We start from the raw sequence: 14,040 nt of genomic DNA, 5'->3' as shown, positions 1-14,040 counted from the left end.
TGAGATGGGAGGATTGCTTCAACCCGGGAGGCAGAGGTTGCAATGAGCCGAGATCGTGCCACTGTACTCCAGCCTGGGTGACAGAGTGAGACTCTGTCTCTAAAAAAAAAGAAAAAACAAAGAATTTTGATTTTCTTTCTTGCCTCTACAAATGGAAAGAAATGAAAATAAAAGCTACTCAGTAACTTCAGCATTCCAGTTTGGAACTTTGAGCTAGATCATTCATATTTATCCCCCTCCAACACACATGCACACGTACACACACACACACCCATGCCCATAGGCGTATACACACATATACACACATGTGCCTTCTTTCCTCTCCTTGCATTGTTGGTGAACATGAAGTCTCACCCCATGAACCCTTACTTCTGGTCAAGAGCAGGGCATAGGTCTCAGTCACCTTAGATCCTCTTGGCAGCACAGGGCTCAACTCACACTATGAACTCAGGCCCTGCTTTCTAAATGAGCATCTAAAAACATGAGCAGTCAAAGGCAGAAGTCCCCCCAGAACCAACCCCATCTAAGGACCTGGAGGTGAATTTTGTGGTGTGGGAGAAGGGTAGCTTTCACTTCCTTTTTTTTGAGATGGAGTCTCACTCAGTTGCCTGGGCTGGAGGGCAGTGGCGCCATGTCGGCTCACTGCAAACTCCACCTCCTGGGTTCAAACAATTTTCCTGCATCAGCCTCCCAAGTGGCTGGGATCACAGGCACATGCCACCACGCCTGGCTAATTTTTGTATTTTTAGTACAGATAGGGTTTTGCCGTATTGGCCAGCCTGGTTGGCTTTCACTTTCACACGGCAACCACGCCAACCAGCACCTCCAACCCAGAGTTGCAAACTGAGACCACATTCAGCTACATATGGGTTTAGTTTGGCCAAATCAGCATTAAAAAATGTGTTTTAAGTTAAAACATTTGAAAACTGGGAGTTTGATGTAATAATCTAGATTCCTGGCTTTTCCTGAAAACTCACAGGATTTGGCAGCTCTGAGTCCACTTTTCCAAATGGCCACAACTGGCTGTGGCTAGTACTGCCTTCCAGCTTGACCTGTTCCAGTCAATTACTGCACCTGCCTGGCCTCTGCAGGCCTGCCCCTAACAATGCGGAAGCAGGCCCTTGTGGGGAATCTCTTGTGGGCCACCTGGAGGAAAGACAGAGAGCACGGGACAGTCCTTGCCATGGGCTTCCCCTGGCTATGTCATTGGCTGAAATATGTTCCAAGCCATCCCTGTGTGACAGGAAGTAACACAACAATAATGAATAACAACTACAATGTATTGAGTACTTACCAGATGCTGGGCACCAAGCTAAGCAATTTACTTTCAAGACCTCCTTTAATCCTTTCAACAATCCTGTTTAGGCACTATTGTCTCCATTGAACTGATTAAGAAACTGAGGCTCAGAGAACTTAGGTAACTTGCCCAGTTGACACCACTAGCAAGTGATGGAGCTTGAGTGCCAACGAAACTCTAAAGCCCAGGTACTTAGCCTTCCAGGCTCACTGCCTCAGGAGCAATGGCGATCTGCTCATGGGCATATTAACCTAACAAAGAGTGGGGAGTAGAGAGCTGTGGGCCACAGCAGCTTGCTCTTCCCACTTGGAGATAGCACATTGGAGTTGTTAAGAGCACAGTTTTGGTATTAGATAGACCTGAGCTCAGAGCCCAACTCCTAGTAATACCATTTACTAGCTGTGCTACCTAAAGCAAGTGACTAAACCTCTCTAAGGCTCAGCTTCCTCTTCTGAGAAATGGAAGGGATAATAACACCTGTTGCTTTTGGAGGGCAATTGGAGCGTTGAGATATTGCATTTAAATCCTATATTTGTACAGTTCTTTGGTGGCAGCCATCAGAAACAGTTTGGCTACAAGGTCAGCAAAAAGGGATATTGTCAGAGAGCAAGATGTGGAATACACAGAGAATCCCAAGAAAAACTGAAAGAACCAGGGATGCTCCAGGAATCAAGATAACAGGAATAAGGAATAATCTTGTTGGGAGCTACCACCAGAACAGTAAGGTTTCAACCTCTTTTTCCTCCTATCTTTGATGCAGTTTCCTGGGAGATGGGCCTCTTTTGGGTCACATTCCCACCTGGGTTATGTCAGTTTCTCTGGAAGCAGAGCCTGAGACAAGGATTCTCATGCAATATTCTGTTGAGAGTGCTGTCAGGGGAAGAGGAGGTAGCAGAGCAGTACTGGGCAAAGGAAGAAGAAGCTGGTCAAGATGTGGTTTTAGGGTGAGTCTAGTCTCTCAGCCTGATGCTGGGGGAGTATGAATTGCACCGGTGAATTTGTCCCACCTAGAGGCAAGGGGGCTGGGTTTACTCCACATTAGTTAGTCATTGACCCCAGGCCACTCCCAGGGGAAGCGGTGTAACCTTTCAGGTAGCCCCAGGTAAATCACCTCAGGCAATTCTCCAAGGAAGGGGGCAGCTGTGAGCCATTAGCATCCAACACTTGCAGCATAAAGGGTGTCTGGGCAGGCCACCAAAGCCATCTGCTACACTACCCATTACTGAGTGTCCCAGCCAGCCACACAAAATGAAGGAGAGGTAATCATCTAAAAAGAAATCAGGGTGCTTTGCAGAAGAGGAAGAGATGGATACAGAGAGCTGGAAAAAAAAGCAAATATTCACTACACATGATTAGCCCTGAGCCTGCCCCGTGTAGAGCAAACATTAAATTAATGGTGGCTATTATTATAAGTGTAACAACATATTAAAATTGAAATGTCCAGCTGAGAGGTCAACATAGAAGAGATGCCACATTCCAGAGTAAAGAACAAGACCATGGTGCAAAATTTACAAAGCTGACAAAGATTGGCTGCTCTCAACCCCTTATGGTATTGTGTGTGGGTTTTAAAGGGTTGGAAGTAGTTGGGGATGAGGGAGAAATATTTGTTTCTGTTTTGTTTTGTTTTGTTTTGTTTTGAGACAGAGTCTCACTCTATCACCCAGGCTGTAGTGCAGTGGCGCCACCTCGGCTCACCACAACCTCTGCCTCCCAGGTTCAAGCGATTCTTCTGCGACAGTCTCCTGAGTGGCTGGGATTACAGGCACATGCCACCATGCCTGGCTAATTTTTTTTTTCTTTTGTATTTTTAGTAGAGACAGGGTTTCACCATGTTGGTCAGGCTGGTCTTGAACTCCTGACCTCAGGTGATCTGCCCACCTCGGCCTCCCAGTGCTGGGATTACAAGCATGAGCCACTGTGCCCAGCCAAGGGAGAAATATCTGAAGTAGCAGTTGATGTGTTGTGAGTTACACCTTCTCTCAAAAATGAGCAATGAAGAATATGTCCCCCTTCATCTCAAGAAAGGAGAACAGTGCTTTAAAGTGACCACTCAGAGCTCTGCTATGGTTCAAATGTACGTGTCCATCCAAAATTCGTATGTTGGAACTGAAGCCCCAAGGTGATGGTCTTATGAGGTGGGGCCTTTAGGAGGTGATTAGTATGAGATCAGTGCCTTATAAAAAGTCTGGAGGGAACTAGCTAGTAGCTTTTTGCCCATCTGCCTTCCACCAAGTGAGGACACAGTATTTGTCCCCTCTGGAGGAAGCAGCAACAAGATGCCACCTTAGAAGCAGAGACCAGGCCACCACCAGACATTGAACCTGCTGTTACCTTGATCTTGGACTTCCAGCCTCCAGAACCGTGACAAAGAAATGTCTGTTCTTTATAAATTACCCAGTCTCAGGTATTTTGTTATAGCAGCAGGAATGGCCTAAGACAAGCTCGAGGTGTGTCTCCTGTGTTTTGGTGGACACAACAGGTTGCTATTTGACCCTGCCTGTTCCTTTTAGAGGGCAGCCTTTGTGCTGGTCAACTGCTGTGACAATGGCGCAGAGGTGAAGTGGCTGCACTGGTGCTCACCCCCAGAGCTTACTAGAGCCAGATCTTTGGATTTTTTGTGAACTCATGTGGGACAGCTAGAGAGGGTGCCAGCAGGGGGTTATCTTAGGGTTTGTCCACAAGGGACTCCTGGAGGGGCAAGCAGACAGCCAAAAGGAGCTGGAGGTCTTGCTAGACAGATGCCTAGGGGCTAAGGAAGGAGAAAACCACTAGCCAGCATAGAAATATATTCACCTTGCAAAAGGACTGCAGGCGAGCAGCTTCTCTAACCCGTCTCTCACTCCAGAGCTCCGAAGCTAGAGAATCAGAGATCAAGGCTGTCAGATTCTTCAGGGAAGGATGCATGCAGGGGAAGAAGCCTAGTGTGCCCCTCCCTGACAGGCTTCATAACTTACCTGCAAAAAGTGCAAGCTGGGGAGTCAAGGGCTAGCAGGGAGAAGGCTCAACTTTAAGTCAAGTTGGAAGGTTTGATAATTTGGGCAGAGCGATGAACTGAGACTATAGTTAGTGACTGGCAGTGGTTGTAGGACTTTTTATTACCTAAAGTGACCAGGAAATTGGTGACTCTGTCCACATTTGCATACATGGGCAGGATAACTAGACTCATAGGAAGTGCAAAAAGAGAAAAAAGGAGGCAAAATTCAAGTTTCTTTCACACTGTAGCCTATATGTTCTTTGTGTTCAAATAATGGCTATTTGAGGAAAGACATTTGGAACCACATTTTAAATATATGACCTTGGCAGATTGGGGCCTAAGTGAGTGCTAGGTCTGAAGGTCTCTTAGGAAAACTAGGCCCGGCCATTTGGGATTTGGTGAGCCTGAGCCCAAGGTCACACTGAGTTATGAGACTTAGACTCCAGCTTGGGCCCAACAGTCCTAAATCTGCATAATGCCACCTCCAAAGGGTTTGTGCATTTGACACATGTCACACTCCCCAGGTGAGAGAAGGGGAGGTGTCTGCATAGGAAAATGATGTATTCAAGGTCTCCAGGTTGGATCGAAGGGGTTTTTTGGCTCCCTGGGCTCCTGAACCTGGATTCTCTCATTCTGGCTGTGACATGATGGCTCCCAGTGTGGTTGCTCTGATGTAATAGGCTGTGAGGGAGGCCTGTGGGTTTCTCACAGCTGGGGCAGGGTGCTGGGGATGACACACTAGGCTTCCCAAGGATAGTCACAAAGTGTGTATAAATGAAGTGAGAATCTCATTCTGGAACCAGTGAACTATCCAGAGCTGGAAGTTTCCTTAGAGTTGTCTAGTCTCTTCACCACATTTTACAGACAGGGAAACTGTGGTGCACGTAGGGCCTGGCACACACAGGGACTCAGTCTAGGCTCAGGCATGAGTAGATTTTAGCCCTGGCCCTTCCTCTGGAAGTGCATTTAGGAGATGCCTTTGGGGCAGAGGGAAATGTTCCCATCAAGGAACCAAGGAAGGACAGTTTAGGAGGGCACAGGGCAGGGTTAAGGATAGGCATTGTTCTCTTTGGCTTTCACAGTAGGGTGTGTGCAGGGCAGATAAGGCCCTCAGGAAGGTGTCTGAGGAGCTGTGATGAAGAAGGTTGGCTCCCATGCTGAGGAGTCCCACGTTACTCTGCAGGCAAAGGAAAGTCCTCAGAAGGGGCAGGGTGACAGAGAGATGTAATAATAACAGCAAGTGTTTGATGAGTGTTTATACTATGCTAGGCACTGTTTTAAGCCCTTTGTTTTATTTTTTTTTATTTTTAGTTTTAGAGAGATGGTCTTGCTTTGTCACCAGGCTGGGATTGCAGTGTTCTGATCATGGCTCACTGCAACCTTGACCTCCTGAGCTCAAGCAATCCTCGCACCTCAGCCTCCCTAGTAGCTGGGACTATAGACGTGCACCACTATGTCTGGCTAATTTTTAAATTTTTTGTAGACTCAGGGTCTTGCTATGTTGCCCAGGCTGGTCTCAAAACTCCTGATCTTGAGCTATCCTTCCACCTTGGCCTCCCAAAGTGCTGGGATTACAGGCGTGAGCCACTGTGCCCGGCCCTATAAACACTTTAATGTGTATTATTTCAATTAATCTTCACTCAAGCCCGTGAAGTGGGTTCTGATCTAAAACACCCATTTAACAGATGACTGAGGCAGAGAGAGAGGTTAAATCATTTGCCTAAAGTTGCCCGTTGGTTGGAGTCAGGATTCCAGTCCCCAAAGTCTGCCTCAAGAGCCCACCACACTAAAGCTCTGCCCCACCACCTGTGAATGTTGTAGGAAGAGCACCCTGGTGGTCAAAGGTGCACCATCACAGATGGAGATCTGGGGCAGGAAGAATGGCTAGGAGCCTGTGGAGACTCCTCCGATAACCAAGGCAGAACTCTGAGGGCCACAGAGTTTGCCAGGATTTTCTGGATCGGAAAAAATGACACAATCAAAGAATCCGCTCATTTAGCGCCTCATGTTTATAGGTGAGGACATCGACGCTCAGAAAAGCAAGACGAATTGTGCCCAGGGACAAGCTGCTTGTCCAGGCTTGAATCCTGATGACAGGACTCCAGGGATGGGAATTGATTTTAAAATATTAATATGTTAGGCTGGGGGTGGTGGTTCACTCCTGTAATTCTAGCACTTTGGGAAGCCAAGGTGGGTGGATCACTTGAGCTCGGGAGTTTGAGACCAGCTAGGGCAACATGATGAAACCTTACCTCTACTAAAAATACAAAAAAATTAGTTAGGTATGGTGGTGCATGCCTGTAGCCCCAGCTATTCAGGAGGCTGAGGTGGGAGGATCACCTGAGCCTGGAAGGTGGAGGTTGCAGTGAGCTGAGATCGCACCACCGCACTCCAGCCTGGGTGACAGAGTGAAACCCAGTATCAAAAATATATATATATATATATGTTAACAATACTTTCTGGGGACAATGTGATTTTTTTTTTTTTAAAAAAAAAAGCCTTTAAGCCAGTGCAGTGTTGTGTATCTACAATGCTAGCTACTTGTGGGGGCTGAGGCAGGAGGATTGCTTGAGCCCAAGAGTTCAAGTCTGGCCTGGGCAACATAACAAGACCCTCTCTCTTTGAAAAAAAAAATAAAAAAGTGTTTAAAATGAACATATCTTTTGGTACTATTAGGAATTTGCCCTAAAGAATATATATGCAAAGACATGTAATATGATGTTATTAATAATAATTTAATAAAAATTCCCAGCAATAAGGGGATTAGTCAAGGGAATTATGATGTATCTACTTGAAAAATACTATACAAACTTTAGAAAAGGAGATTATGTTATAGGTTAGGAGGTCTTAACCTGTGATACAGCAATGGGTTTCAGGAGACAGAACCTCCTAAAATTGTGAAAGGTGGATTTGTACGGAAGTGGATCTATAGCTGACTTAAGATTTTCAAAGGGATATGTGACCAAAATAGGCTAAAAACTACTATTAGAGAAGAATATTGAAAAAACCTTATATTTAAAAACGTACATGAAAGAGCATCAACCATTACCAATTCATGGTCAATCTTGTTTATCTCTACTCCCACCCAATTCCTCCTCCTGTATTATTTTGAAGGGAATCCCAGATATCATTTTACTTAGAAACAGCTCAGGATATATCTCTAAAGAGGCTCTTTTTTTTTTTTGTCATTGAGAACTATTTTAATGCGGCTATGAAAAGGGAAAAAAGTGTCCAGCTCTTAATTTCTTAGATATTGAAGAGGACGTTGTCATTTTGTTTATCAAACATAAGGAAAATTGTTCACCATTTTGAAGCTCACCCTAGACTATGAAAATTATATTCACTGCAGAGCAATTACTTCTGTCATTACCTGAAGTTATCAGTATGTATCTTCCTTGTCATAGGATGCATCTCTCAAAAAGCCTCCACTCCTTTTCCTCACATCTGTAATCATCATGAACCTTTTAGTTCACTTCTAGATCCATATTTTGTGTTTTCTAAAGCTTCTGACATTATCTTACTTTCTGACCCTCTTATCCATATTTTTAAAAACAGGAACATTGTTGAGATGCACCCTTTTTGGTTAATAGATACATTCCTAAAGAGCTTTTAATTGCTTACGCTTATCTTTTAGGAATAACCATCACTTTAACTTTTCCTTAGATAATATATTTTGAATTGTTAGAATAATTTTGTTGCATTTCTCTGAGATCTAGTCTGTTTCTCCTCATTATTTAAAAATGCTAAAACTTATATCTCACGTTTTCTCTAACACTGACTTAATACCTAACAGGGTAGAAGCAACATTCATTCTTCTGATTATATATATGAATTCAAGTATTAGCTTTCTTGTAATAACAACCTTTTATTACTATTCTAGAGACTGCAATACCGACAGTGTAGGCCAACCACCAGCTTGATATCAAAGTATAACATTATAAAGTTAGTAGGGTAAAACATCTGTAGGGAAAACCCAGTGAAGAACCAGAGTATTTGGTTCTCATGTCTGTTTAATGAAGGGACTAGATTTTGTAATCTATCCTTTTAGAAATTATATAACTGACTAATATGGTTTAATTAACATTAGTAACATCTCATGACCACTGACTGCTGAAAGTTCTGAAAAGGGTTTTGTTTTGTTAAAATGCACATTTGAGGGAGATTCACTCCCCTGACTTATGAGTAAAACAAAGACTTCACTGGGTGACCTAAATGAGACTTAGTGGAGAAAAGTTGCCATGTTTGGACAGAGATAAATGATATTCATGTTGTATGGTTTTAATATACTAGTACATTCTAGAATGTAAAAGGATTAATTTAAACTCTACAATTTACATCAATATTTTGAATATGTAAATTTTTTATGGGAGACTGTATTACATTTTGCTGAAATTAGAACAAAGTAAAGAGAAAGGGCAAGAAAGCAACATTGCTGATCTCTCTAGTATGAAAGATTTGGAGGGAGTGTGGCAATATATATATAAATGAAAAAATGTAATTGTGTTCATCATATTTAAAAATAGAATATGTGACTGGGCACGGTGGCTCACGCCTGTAATCCCAGCTCTTTGGGAGGCCAAGGCGGGTGGATCGCCTGAGGTCAGGAGTTCGAGACCAGCCTGACCAACATGGAGACACCCCCTCTTTACTAAAAATACAAAATTAGCCAGGCGTGTTGGCACATGCCTGTAATCCCAGCTATGCGGGAGGTTGAGGCAGGAGAATAGCTTGAACCTGGGAGGCGGAGGCTGTGATAAGCTGAGATAGTGCCACTGCACTCCAGCCTGGGCTCCGTCTCAAAAAAAAGAATATACTAAAGAACTGTGATATAAAAGTACTCTGTTAATGTAAAAAATAAAGCAAGTGTAATTCTTTTAGAATATAAAATTTGAGCATTACCTGCTGAGCAGTTCCCAAATTAAGTACAAGGAATGTATATTCATTTTCTGCCATATACTGTATGTAACAGGGAATACCTTGCTAAAATGATAAATACTTAGGATATAGTGGTAATGGCTTTCACATTTTTATAACATAACTCACTACACGCCATTCTTGTAGCTGCCCACTCTTAGAAACTTTGTTGCCTAATATTGAGGAAGCGGCTTTAATTTCTTCCATTTGGCAGTGTATGTCTATAGTGGAGCATGAAATTGGCTATGCATTGCTATTGCCTGCTGAAGTTTCTCTTCCTTGGCTCTTCTACAGTGGCAAATTGTTCTCTTTTCCATGAAGCTACTGAGAAAATCATTTATTTCCATTTTTCCCTCCACAAAGTCTTCCACAATATTATCAGGTTCTTCCCCAGCTTCATGTGCAGCTACTTTCAATGTTGCCTGTAGGGCACTTGCACTACAGCTCTCACTAAGTTCACACTGCCTTTGCATCTTCTTTTTGAAAGCAGACTTCATTTGTTTAAGTAATTCATACTTATCTAAAACGGTTTGCCTTTTGGCTCCCAAGCTGGGCTCCAAAAGGATATTTTTTTCTTGCTAGTTCCTCAATACTTTTTACTAAGTCATCTTTGTCAGTAATAATTTGTTTTAGTTGAGACAAAGTCAGAAACTGTTCTAGTAATACCTCCTCTTGTTCATTCATATCTGTGAGTCGTGACACGCTTAGTTCTGAGAGTTCTGGAAATGCATCAGAGACATCTGGCATCTTGTAACCAAAACCATTTTGGCTTGTCAATATTGAAGCATCTGTTGTGGAAATGGGTAATGGCAGATTTGAAAGGACACCAAATGAAGGAGCGACGGGCTTGGCTGTGGTATGACTTGTTGTTGAAGAAGAAACAGTATTAGCAACAGATAAAGAAGTGATAACTCCTCTTTGTTTCTTCTGGGGGATATGGAGGAAGAAATGGAAAACATTGAGAAGCATAAAGCGGCATCCCACTTGGGTTACTGTATAGGTAAGGAAATGCTGTTGCAGTAGGAGCTAAAACTGGAGGATTCTTCCAAAACTCATCCAACAGACTCTGAATAATTTTTCCAAGATCTGGGTGCATTGTAAAATTGTTTGCTAATGGAGAAGTAACATACACTCCTTGTTTATCCATTAAGTGATGTCGTATTGGTGGAAAAACACTGATCACTGGTTTTTCCTGAGGAAATTGTGGAGGAAGCAATATATGTTAATTGTCAGGTTGTTTATGGTGAATGGCAATCTGTATTCCACATCTTTCTGTATTTTAGCTATACTGGAGTGTGAGTTCCGGAGGGACTCGATCAGGCGTTGCTTCTGCTGCTGGAGGCTGGTAAGGCCACCGGGAACCCGGCTGCGGAGGAGGAGGCGCTCTTTGTCAGGTCCTCGGGCGGAGGCTCTGGAAGGCTCTGGCCTGCTTCTCCCAGCGGCTCGGCCCAGCGGTTCTCCTGCGACAGAGGACCGGGCTGGGACGTCCGTGGCCCAAGCGCTGGGGACCGCGTCTTCTCTAAGCCAGCCCTGCCTGTGCTTCCCGGGTTCTGGCGGACATGTTATGAATGGCGGGCAGCTGGAGAGGGGAACTTGCTGCCCAGAACAGGCAGTCCCACCTTCACCGCCCAGACGCCCAAGCCGGCCAGTTAGGCAGCCTGATCGCCCAGCGCTCCACCACCTGTGACGCCGTCTCTAAAAGGACTCTTTTAAAAAAGCATAGGTACAATGTCATTATCACACCTTTAGAAAACCTAACAATAATCAATAATTATCAAATAGCCACGTAATATGAAGTAAATAATATTCATTGACACCCCCACCCCTGAAAAAAAAAAGCCGGCCACCCATTGCTAAGTGAGAAAAGGAAAACAGAATAGACTCTGACCCCATTTTGGCAACATACACATCCTAATGGTAACAGTTATTTGGGGTTAGAAAGATTATGGATGGTTTCTTCTTTCTCAGGTTCTCGCATTACTTTTTTTTTTTTTTTTTTTTTAATTTTTTTGAGATAGAATCTCACTCTGTTACCCAGGCTGGAGTGCAGTGGTGCGGTCCCAGCTCACTGCAGACTCAAGCTCCTGGGCTCAAGCAATCCTTTCACCTCAGCCTCCCAAGTACCTGGGACTACAAGGGCACACCACCACATCCAGCTTTTTTTTTTTTTTAATTATTATTATTATTTGTAAAGATGAGGCCTCCCTATGTTGCCCAGGCTGGTCTCTAACTCCTGGGCCCAAGCCATTCTCCTGCCTCGGCCTCACAAAGTGCTAGGATTACAGACATGAGCCACCAGGCCCAGCCCATATTACTTTTTGAATTAAAAAAATAATACAAAGGGAAGAATAAGATGGTAGACTTCTTTTTCAAAGTCAAAATCCTCTGATTTAGGATCTAAGTATTAAGGGTTTATCCTGTCCCATCTTGAAATGAAGAAGACACAACCACCCAGAGAAGTTAAGGGTTTTGGCCACAATCACAGAGTAGGGGGAGGCTGTGAAGGAGAGAGGGGTATCCTGCTGGCTTCCCAGACTCTTGGAGAAAGCAGAGACAGAGGTCCTGGGACACCTCTCAAGCTCTGGTCCCTGTTGTCCCACTACCTTCACCCTCTTACCTTCCCATCTTTATCAAGCCTCACACGTTTGGGGCACTTTGTTGCTGGAGTTGACAGACCAAACGAAACAGAGGGGGGAGGCAGATAACCAGAGCCCTTTCTTGCCACACCTAGTCCTGTTGGCTTGTCAGGTCTGGAGGAGAAGGCATCTTGTTTCCCCAACACATTCCAGAGTCATGTCCCCCTGGCTGCCTGGCCTCCAGGCCAGGTCCCCCCAGCCCCCAAGACTTTCATGGTTGAGACAAAAAAGGAATGAAAGACTTGACATTGTTACACTCCTCTCTCCAAAGTCCCAGTTTTGCTGTGTGCCCTTGGGCAAATCCCTCTCCTCTCTGGGACTGTGTTTCTGCACCTGGACAGGGAAGTGGCTGGGATGGATAATTTCTGAGACATTCACCCTCCTTCCCCACCCAATTCTGATTTCATTCAGAGTTTCTAAATCTATCAGATATAGGAAGGAGATCCACCACACTTCTAAATGTCAGCTCAGAATCTCATGGCTTGGCCGGGCGTGGTGGCTAACGCCTGTAATCCCAGCACTTTGGGAGGCCGAGGTGGGCAGATCACGAGGTCATGAGATCGAGACCATCCTGGCTAACACAGTGAAACCCTGTCTCTACTGAAAATACAAATAATTAGCTGGGCGTGGTGGCGGGTACCTGTAGTCCCAGCTACTCGGGAGGCTGAGGCAGGAGAATGGTGTGAACCCAGGAGGCAGAGCTTGCAGTGAGCCAAGATCGTGCCACTGCACTCCAGCCTGGGCGACAGAGCGAGACTCCGTCTCAAAAAAAAAAAAAAAAAAAAGAATCTCATGGCTCATGCCTATAATCCCAGCACTTTGGGAGGCCGAGGTGGTCAGATCATCATCTGAGGTCAGGAGTTCGAGACCAGCCTGGCTAACACGGTGACAACCCGTCTCTACTGAAAAAACAAAAATAGCCAAGTGTGGTGGCAGGCGCCTGTAATCCCAGCTACTCAGAAGGCTGAAGCAGGAGAATCGCTTGAACCTGGGAGGTGGGGGTTGCAGTGAGCCGAGATTGGGCCATTGCACTTCAGCCTGGGCAACAGAGAGAGACTTTGCCTCAAAAAACAAAAACAAAAACAAAAACAAAAAACAAACAAAAAATAAACTACCCATGGCTGCCTTTGGCCATGGTGTGAAGGCCAGTCACAACTTTTCTGACGAAGGGGACAGGAGGTAGACATTTTACTTCAAGAGCCAGTACACTCACCACCCCCACACACACTTGAAATAAAAGTTTCATGCAATAACACACCCTTTCTTCATAAGATGCACTCTGATAATTTTTATTTATTTTTTTAGTTTCTGATTGCAATTCATTAAGATGTTTTCACAATCCACAAAACAGCCATCACTTGCACTTTGAAGAACACTGATTTATACAGCTATGCCCCAATTTCTTAGCAAGGTAGTACCAGCCAAGACAAATACAAGTAAATATATATATATTATATATGTGTGTGTGTGTGTGCATGTGTATGTGTAAATTATTTTTCCCAAACAGATTTCATATTAACTGTCTTGGCTTCTCAAACTTGAATGTGCATATGAGTCCCTTGGGATGTTTTTAAAAATGCAGATTCTGATTCATTAGGTGTGAGATGGGGCCAAGATTCTGCATCTTTGACTAGTCCCCTAGGTGAAGCATCTCAGATATTCATTTCACTGGTCTAACTGTTCTCACCGATGAAACCATTTTTTCTCGTGTCTTTCCTTCTTTTCTCTCTCCCTCTTTTTCCATCCTTCTGTAACTGTGTTTGGAGACTCAGTGGGTTCAAGTTGCAGCTCTGTCGCCTACCAGCTGGGGAAGCTTGAACAAGTTATTTAAATTCTCTGTGCCTCAGTTACTTTACCTGCAAAATGGGGGTAATAACTGCACTTTCTCCTGAAGTACTTTTGAGAATTGAATGAGATGATCCCTGTAAATTACTTAACGCATTCATTCAACAAACATTTATTGAATATTTATTACCAAATAAATGCTGTTGTTGCCAGCACTTATTTCCTTGTCCTAGGCACTTTTCCTCACTGACTGTCTCCTTTCAAAGGAGTTATATTTTAAGTTGTATATTTAGTTTGAGTATACATTTATTTTTTAATTATAGAAATTATCATCATAAAAAGCAAAATACAATATGGCAATAAGTTTGGAAAATGTAGGAAAGACAAAAATATTATCCATAATCCTGCCACCCTAATATGACAACAATTGCTTT

At 43.9% G+C, this 14,040-nt stretch overlaps 2 pseudogenes, besides 2 other annotated features; one reads left to right on the top strand and one right to left on the bottom strand.

Moving 5' to 3' along the window:
- Nucleotides 299–368: an enhancer, noted in NCBI's record as "active region_23479". NCBI's record gives its function as "activates an Ori minimal core promoter by ATAC-STARR-seq in GM12878 lymphoblastoid cells {active_cell/tissue: GM12878}" and the evidence as "EXISTENCE:reporter gene assay evidence [ECO:0000049][PMID:35858748]".
- Nucleotides 629–708: an enhancer, noted in NCBI's record as "active region_23478". NCBI's record gives its function as "activates an Ori minimal core promoter by ATAC-STARR-seq in GM12878 lymphoblastoid cells {active_cell/tissue: GM12878}" and the evidence as "EXISTENCE:reporter gene assay evidence [ECO:0000049][PMID:35858748]".
- Nucleotides 7,455–9,411, top strand: LOC100271907 (myotubularin related protein 7 pseudogene; annotated as a pseudogene).
- LOC100128833 (VPS37A, ESCRT-I subunit pseudogene) lies at nt 9,406–10,856 on the bottom strand (annotated as a pseudogene).

Source organism: Homo sapiens, chromosome 5 (assembly GCF_000001405.40).
Source record: "Homo sapiens chromosome 5, GRCh38.p14 Primary Assembly".
Taxonomy (NCBI): Eukaryota; Metazoa; Chordata; class Mammalia; order Primates; family Hominidae; genus Homo; species Homo sapiens.
This window is presented reverse-complemented; position numbering and strand designations above follow the sequence as displayed.